This window comes from Homo sapiens, chromosome 1, assembly GCF_000001405.40.
Source record: "Homo sapiens chromosome 1, GRCh38.p14 Primary Assembly".
NCBI classification, from domain to species: Eukaryota; Metazoa; Chordata; class Mammalia; order Primates; family Hominidae; genus Homo; species Homo sapiens.
The window spans coordinates 225,467,832-225,475,670 of record NC_000001.11 but is presented as its reverse complement, the minus strand read 5'-3'; the positions used below and the strand labels follow the sequence as shown (position 1 = coordinate 225,475,670).

The window sequence follows — 7,839 nt, the reverse complement described above, 5'->3', positions numbered from 1 at the left end:
CCAGACTGCTTCCTTGACCCTCCATGGAGGGGCAGTCCTGGGAGTTCGCAGGCTCCCGGGCGGGGCATTTAATGGAGCAGAGGGCGCCCCGGGCAGGGTGGATGGTACAGGCACCTGGCCAGGAGGAGCACATGAGGTCCTGGGCCAGGACAGGCCTCAGGAGCAGCTGATGAGAAGACACTGCTGGGGAGAGGAGCTGGCCTCGACCCCATCGAGTCCTTGGAGGTGGTGGGTCTGCTGTACTCTGTGCGGTGTCATTTCCATCCTTTCCAAGGCTGGCATCACTGCTTACACCATCCCACCAATCTCACCCAGCCTGCCCACCTGCCCTCGTCCACCGCAGCCGGGCTGGTGTGGGGATTTGCAGGCAACCACTCGGATCCTCCCAAGGGAGCGGGGAGAGTGTGGAGCAGGGAAAGGCGGCACGTCCCAAGGCCGCAGGCGTGCAGGTCCGCTGGGCGCCTAAGGCCAGCCGGGTTCTGCCGGGGCCCAGGGCCTGGACGGTGGCGCTCGAGCGACCCCTGGCGGTCATGCTCGGCAGCGCGCCCCGTCCAACGCGGGTGCGCAGCGCCCTCTGCCGGCCGACGGGCGTCCTTGCCTTTTCCCGGCCTCTCAGTTTGGGATTGGAGGGTACTGGTAGGATCCTATTTCACAGCTGAGAGACGGAGGCACAGAAGTGAAGTAATGCATCCGAGGCGAAGCTGACTGAGAAAATACACGAATGCAGGTATTCTGACTGAAGAGTCTGCATGAAGTCCAGGGTAACGAATATGACCTTTGGTTATGTCAACAAATGTGTCCACAGAGCCTTTTTTCTCCGCTCAGCTGGTCGGCTGGTTCCACGGAGCTGTGTTGAGCCCTGGGTACCCCACTTTTGAAGTTCATCAGCAAACTACAACATGTTCAGGTTGCGTGGTGAGAGTGGTGGGGGACTCCAAATCCAGTCGTATGAGGAACAATGGAAAGAATGGGGTGGCAGGTTTCTTCAATCCAGAACATTCCACTGGCCAGGGCTGTCCTCCGGAGGAGGAAGCATCCTCATGAAGTGGACATCCTACTCACCAGGGGCCTAGAGAGTGCCGGGCTGGCCACTTGCTGACTGGTCTGGAAGAATTAGAATAATTATGGGAAGGCCCTTTAAGGTGCTCACAAGCCTCTTTAGGAGACACAGGTACTAATCATTAGGAACGAGGCAGGAGGCATGCATGGCCAGTGCTGTGGAGTGGGCACGAGGCTGTCTCGTCTCTTCACTGGGCAGGAGGGGAATCATGAGGTCAGAGCGCTTCGGGAAGGTGGGCGCGGCACAGGGTTCTGGCTCAGCCCTGCTGCAGTGTTGGGTCAGAGGCATGGATACCACCTGTGAGGTGGAAACGGATGGACAGGAGTGTAGAAGACAGTGCCACAGGCGGGATTCTCCAGGAGGCCAACCCTGAGTCAGAGTTAGGAGAGCAAAAGATTTATTGGGAGCCAGGCACGGTGGCTCACGCCTGTAATCCCGGCACTTGGGGAGGCCAGGGTGAGTGGATTGCTTAAGACCAGGAGTTTGAGACCGGCCTGGGCAATGTGGCAAGACCTTGTCTCTACAAAAAATACAAAAATTAGCTGGGCATGGTGGCTCGCACTTGTAATCCCAGCACTTGGAGAGGCCAAGGCAAGCAAATCGCTTAAGTCCAGGAAAATTTGAGACCAGCCTGGGCAACATGGCAAGACCTTGTCTCTACAAAAAATACAAAAATTAGCCAGGTGTGGTGGTGCACACCTGTTGTCCCAGTGTGTCCGGAATTGGTGGGTTCTTGGTCTCACTGACTTCAAGAATGAAGCCGCGGACTCTCGCGGTGAGTGTTAACAGCTCTTAAGGTGGTGCGTCTGGAGTCTGTCCTTTCTGATGTTAAGATGCGTTCGGAGTTTCTTCCTTCTGATGGGTTCGTGGTCTCGCTGGCTCAGGAGTGAAGCTGCAGACCTTCGCGGTGAGTGTTACAGCTCTTAAGGCAGCGCCTCTGGAGTTGTTCGTTCCTCCCGGTGGGCTCGTGGTCTTGCTGGGCTGAGGAGTGAAGCTGCAGATCTTCCCGGTGAGTGTTACAGCTCATAAAAGCAGCGTGGACCTAAAGAGTGTGCAGTAGCAAGATTTATTGCAAAGAGCCAAAGAACAAAGCTTCCACAGTGTGGAAGGAGACCCGAGCGGGTTGCTACTGCTGGTTCTGGCAGCCTGCTTTTATTCTCTTATCTGGCCCCACCTACATCCTGCTGATTGGTAGAGCCTAGTGGCCTGTTTTGACAGGGTGCTGACTGGTGCATTTATAATCCCTGAGCTAGATACAAAGGTTCTCCACGTCCCCTTAGTTAGATACAGAGTATCCACACAAAGGTTCTCCAAGGCCCCACCAGAGCAGCTAGATACAGAGTGTTGATTGGTGCCCCCTGAGCTAAACACAGGGTGATGATTGGTGTATTTACAATCCCTGAGCTAGACATAAAGACTCTCCACATCCCCACCAGACTCAGGAGCCCAGCTGGCTTCACCTAGTGGATCCCGCACCGGGGCTGCAGGTGGAGCTGCCTGCCAGTCCCTCGCCGTGCGCTCGCACTCCTCAGCCCTTGGGTGGTCGATGGGACTGGGTGCCGTGGAGCAGGGGGTGGTGCTCCTCGGGGAGGCTCGGGCCGCATAGGAGCCCATGGAGGGGGTGGGAGGCTCAGGCATGGCGGGCTGCAGGTCCCAAGCCCTGCCCCGCGGGAAGGCAGCTAAGGCCTGGCGAGAAATCGAGCGCAGCGCTGGTGGGCTGGCACTGCTGGGGGACCCAGTACACCCTCCGCAGCCACTGGCTCGGGTGCTAAGTCCTTCATTGCCCGGGGCCGGCAGGGCTGGCCGGCTGCTCCGAGTGCGGGGCTCGCCAAGCCCACGCCCACCCGGAACTCCAGCTGGCCCGCAAGCGCCGCACGCAGCCCCGGTTCCCGCTTGCGCCTCTCCCTCCACACCTCCCTGCAAACTGAGGGAGTGGGCTCCAGACTTGGCCAGCCCAGAAAGGGGCTCCCACAGTGCAGAGGTGGGCTGAAGGGCTCCTCAAATGCCGCCAAAGTGGGAGCCCAGGCAGAGGAGGTGCCACGAGCAAGCGAGGGCTCTGAGGACTGCCAGCACGCTGTCACCTCTCACCAGTTACTCGGGAGGAGGATCACCTGAGCCCAGGAGGCAGAGGCTGCAGTGAGCTGTGATTGTGCCACTGAACTCCAGCCTGGGCGACAGAGCAAGACCCTGCCTCAAAAACAACAACAACAACAACAACAGCAACTATGTGTGTGTGTGTGTGTGTATATATATATATTTATTTATTTATGAGGGAGCAACACCCATGAAGAAAAGAGAGGCTGCAAGAGAGTGCAGGAGGGGTGGGTAAGCTGCGATGTGGATCTGCCACACTCATCTCTGGCAGCCCAGTGGGCATGCAGAGCCAGTGCTGCCCATCAGAGGAGCCCTTGAGGGGTGGAATAGTCAGGCCCTTGTATCCTCACCTAGCTCAGACTCCTGGAGAGGCAGAGAGGATGCTGACCCTGAGGAAGCCAACGGCTGGAGGCCAACCACGCTCCACGCAGCTAGGCAGTGCGCCTTCCTTGGAGAGCCACGGTGGCCTGGCCTGCCCCCCGCCAGGAGTGGAGCCTCAGGAAGTCGGATCTCACGCCCCAAGTCCCGGGGCTGCCCTGCTAGGTCTGCCCATGCCGGGAGGGGTGGTCCCCTGCTTGGCTCTCCTCGGGTGGCCCTCCCAGTCACTCCGTAACAACGGGTGGTCCCCCACCTGTCTAGGTCCCTGGACCCCTGCTGAAGACAGGGGATGTTTTTAGGGGAGTCCTGCCCCTCGAGGCTCAGCTCTATCAGAGATGGCTTGGATAGGGCCTCAGGCGGCGGCAGTGCAGGGCGGGGGCACCACCAGCAGTTTGGTGTGATGGGCGGGAAAAGCTCAGAGTGGAAGTGACCGGAACAAGGTGCCGGTCCACATGTCTCCCTTCACACCCGTTACACCCGGCAGTAGGGGCTGGCCGGAGGCACTGGCTCACAGGCTCTGCCTCCTGCAGAGATGTTTACCCCCGCCACCTGCACTCGTTCCCACCTCCCTCAGGCCCAGGGGTCTTGCCCTGCCCAGGGAGGGGACCGCCCACTTACTGGTGTTGACAGGAGGACTGGGTGCAGGATGACCACCTGTGCACTCTCGGTTCAGTCGGGGGTTACCTCTGAAGCTCCCTTCCCCTCTACGCCTTCCTCCTACCTCTCACTACTCTGTCCTGAGGCAGGTGCAAGCAGACAGTCACTCAAACTATTCATCTCCCCAAAACGCTAAAGACAAGCCCAGGTGGCCCACATGTCATCCGCACCCCCAGGAACCCTGATGGGGTTGGTGGGGGCGTCATCCTTGTCACTCTTCACTGCAGCCTCTGAGAGCTCAGACCTCCCACAGTGGGGCTCTGAGCAATGGAGATGGCCAGAAGGTCGGGGGAGTGCCCCGGAGTAGCTGGCAGGTGGGAGCCAAGGGGCTTCCTTCCTGCTTCGCACCAGGCTCCATTCACCAAGCCCGAAACTCTGTCCCCTTAGGGATGGAGGCTCTTCCATTTCACAGAGGACATGAGACATAGAATACGGGACGAGACGTCGTCCGAGGTCAGCCGGCGTTGTTGTCTGCTCCACAATCTGGGGTCCCTGATGCCTGGTCTCGGTCCTGAAGACAGCGGCTCAAATCGCCCACCACCGAGTGGATGGCTCCCGAGTGCCCGGTGATCTCCGTTCCCTGCTGCACGGGCTAGGCTGTGTAGGTTTGCATTTAGGAAGTCCTTAGCACTTTCTGAGCACCTACCATGTGCCAGGGGCTGGGAACATGGAAAGAAAGAAAAACAGCCTGCCACTGGTTCACGTGCTGCCACACCGAGGCCTGTCCTGAGAGCACAGGCAGACTCTGGAGAGCAGAAAGTCTGTCTTCCTTAACCCTGGCTGGTCCAAATTTCTTTCATTCAGCTACAGGATCTGACACTCCTATTTTTTACTTCCAGTGAGGTTTTGCAGCCAGTGGCCAAATTTCCCCAGCAAGGCTGTTAGGAAAGCGTGTGTGTTCTCTGTGCGGTGGCCTGCCCCCGGGAGCTAGGCTCTCAAGCTGGTTGGCACCGAGCGGCTTTCCTGAGCCAAGCCTGTCACTTAGATGACAGTTTATAGATCCAGGAAGCCAGGTGACCTGAGGCTTCATCCCAAACTTGTCCTTGTGCAGACCCCCACCTGGGAATGGGCTGCAGGTCCCCACCTGATGGGAGGTGTCGGGAGAGAGAGAGTGGAGCCAGCCTGAACTCTGAGGCCAGGTGCAGTGGATCAGATTTCTGGGGCAGCTGTCACAAAGTTCCCCAGACTGGGCAGCTTCAACAACCCCCACTTATCATCTCGAAGTTCTGGATGCTGGAGTCCAAGACCAAGGCGTTGGCAGGATGGCCTCCTTCTGAGGTCCCTGTCTGGCATGGAGATGGCCACCTTCTGCCCGTGTCTTCCCACGGTCTTCCAATGGCATGCGTTTGTGTCCAAGTTTCTTTCTTTTTTCTCTTTTTTATTTGGGATGGAGTCTCGCTCTGTTGCCCAGGCTGGAGTGCAGTGGCACAATCTCAGCTCACTGCAACCTCCACCTCCCGGGTTCAAGCGATTCTCCTGCCTCAGCCTCCCGAGTAGCTGGGATTACAGGTGCACACCACCACGCCAGGTGAATTTTTTGTATTTAGTGGAGACGGGGTTTCGCCATATTGGTCAGACTGGTCTTGAACTCCTGACCTCAGGTGATCCACCTGCCTTGGCCTCCCAAAGTGCCGGGATTACAGGCGTGAGCCACCATGCCTGGCCCCAGGTTACTTTCTGTAAAGAACACCAGTCATATTGGATTAGGGCCCACTCTAATGACCTCATGCCCTCTTGATTTACCTTTGTAAAGACCCTATCTCCCAATAGGGTTATATTTTGAGGTCCTGGGGGTTAGGACTTCAGCATATGAAGTTTGAGGGGACACACCATTTAACCTATAACACACCCCAATTCCAGGTTGCCATGCTTACTGGCAGGAGCTTCACCTTCTATTTATATGTCTGGACCATGGTGCCTGTTACCTATGGCAGGGGCTCTCACATGCAGCAGTTGCCTGATTGTAGTGTGTACCGATATGTATAGCTGGCTAGAGTGTGTGATCATCTGGGGACTCAAGGCACCTTAAACATGTGGGGTAGGAGGTGGGGAGGGGAGAATGGGAGGAGAAAGCCCTGAGGTCTTGTTCTTGGCCCAGAAACTCCTGTGCACACCTCTGTAGTTACAGTCCTCTGCAGGTATGCAGGACTGCCCAGAAGACAATTCGCCTTAATTGCCTAGGCCACCCCGGGCATTTATGCATCTTTCTGGGAGGGGAGCAGAGGGGAAGGGCTGGGCAGGCGTAGCAGCTGCAGCCCTGTCTGCCGCCCCTGGAGACTCAAGCTCACAAATGGCCTATAGTCTGGGGGCTGGGTTGCAGAGTCCTTGTTGCTTAGGGTTGCTGGATTTAGCAAATAATAATACCAGATGTCCAGTTACATTTCAATTTCAGATCAATTACAAATAATGTTTTAGTATCGGTATTTTCCAAACATTGCATGGGACATACCTACATTAAAAAATTACTTGTTTACCTGTTAGAGGAGGCAGTTAGGAAAGACCTCTCTGAAGAGGACATTGGGCAGTGATCTGAGTGAAATCAGGGACACAGCAGTGCAGATCTAGGGGAAATAATGGAGACAGAGAGAACAGCAGGTGCAAAAACGTGGCTGAGGAGCCCCAGAAAGGCCAGCGTGGCACGGTCTCCCATTTTAGTGTGAGCTTGTTGAAGTGTGGATTCCAGGCCCTGCTTCTAGTGCAGTAAATATGGGGTAGGTACGGGACCCCATCAAGAAGCTCAGTTCGCATCTATCCTATTCCCTACTCCTTCTCAAGTTTTCAGACACAGTCCAGGGTATGAAATGCACCATCGTGGGCTCAGAGCTGGGGGGAGCCCCTCAAGGACCACCTGGTGCAAACCTCTCCAGTTACTGATGAGGAAACTGAGCTCCAGGGGGTCTTTAAGGACCTCATCCAAGGGATCTGGTCAGAGGAGAGCATGGTGCTTTTGTGCACAGCCAGGTCCAGGTCTTCCGGGGCACTTCTAAAAGGAGTTTGGGGAGCAGCGTGTGGTTTTTGGGGAGCCCCCACCCACTCCCCAGTGCCTGTGGCTTTGAAGCTAGGGCTTCCTGCATGGCCCTGTTGGGCCCTGCTGATCCTAGAGGTCTCACGGCTCATGGCCCAGGGTCCCTAAGGTTGTGTCCACCTTCTGGCTTTCTGGCCCCTTAACCTTTGGCAAATACTTGCCGGTCTAACTTGAGTTCCTTGCTAGAGCTTGTTTCTTTCTTCATGTTTGAAAGAACATAAAAGAGAGAGAAGGGACAGTTAGAGCTATTTATGGAGCCGCAGCCCTAGAAAGCTCCTATCTGTTCTTTCTCCAAGCAGGAAAACCAATTGTAGGCCTCTGACCTCCTCCCTCTCCAGCTCCCAGTGGCCTCCGAGAGCCCCTTGAGCTGCAGAGAGATGCGGACTCTGCAGGCCCCTCACTGCCAGCACCTTCATCACCGAGAGCCTCCACCTGGGCTGGTGGTGGGGGTGGAGAGAATCAAGGAGCAGGAAGAGAGGTGAAGCGACACCGCCGAGGAGCCCCCTGCTCTGTTCTTCATCCTAGACACAGGGAGCACCGGCTTCTCCGCAGCCTTGCCTGGCGCTGCCCTGCAGCCACCCACCCCCCTTCTGAAGGATGCAGCCAGCACAGAGAGAGGGAAGCG

At 56.9% G+C, this 7,839-nt stretch overlaps 5 annotated features.

Moving 5' to 3' along the window:
• Positions 197–286: an enhancer, noted in NCBI's record as "active region_2627". NCBI's record gives its function as "activates an Ori minimal core promoter by ATAC-STARR-seq in GM12878 lymphoblastoid cells {active_cell/tissue: GM12878}" and the evidence as "EXISTENCE:reporter gene assay evidence [ECO:0000049][PMID:35858748]".
• Positions 437–676: a silencer, noted in NCBI's record as "silent region_1857". NCBI's record gives its function as "represses an Ori minimal core promoter by ATAC-STARR-seq in GM12878 lymphoblastoid cells {active_cell/tissue: GM12878}" and the evidence as "EXISTENCE:reporter gene assay evidence [ECO:0000049][PMID:35858748]".
• Positions 2,183–2,702: an enhancer, noted in NCBI's record as "H3K27ac-H3K4me1 hESC enhancer chr1:225660671-225661190 (GRCh37/hg19 assembly coordinates)". NCBI's record gives its function as "activates a minimal SCP1, AML or CMV promoter by ChIP-STARR-seq in primed H9 embryonic stem cells {active_cell/tissue: H9 hESC(primed)}" and the evidence as "EXISTENCE:reporter gene assay evidence [ECO:0000049][PMID:30033119]".
• Positions 2,703–3,222: an enhancer, noted in NCBI's record as "H3K27ac-H3K4me1 hESC enhancer chr1:225660151-225660670 (GRCh37/hg19 assembly coordinates)". NCBI's record gives its function as "activates a minimal SCP1, AML or CMV promoter by ChIP-STARR-seq in primed H9 embryonic stem cells {active_cell/tissue: H9 hESC(primed)}" and the evidence as "EXISTENCE:reporter gene assay evidence [ECO:0000049][PMID:30033119]".
• Positions 7,527–7,806: an enhancer, noted in NCBI's record as "active region_2626". NCBI's record gives its function as "activates an Ori minimal core promoter by ATAC-STARR-seq in GM12878 lymphoblastoid cells {active_cell/tissue: GM12878}" and the evidence as "EXISTENCE:reporter gene assay evidence [ECO:0000049][PMID:35858748]".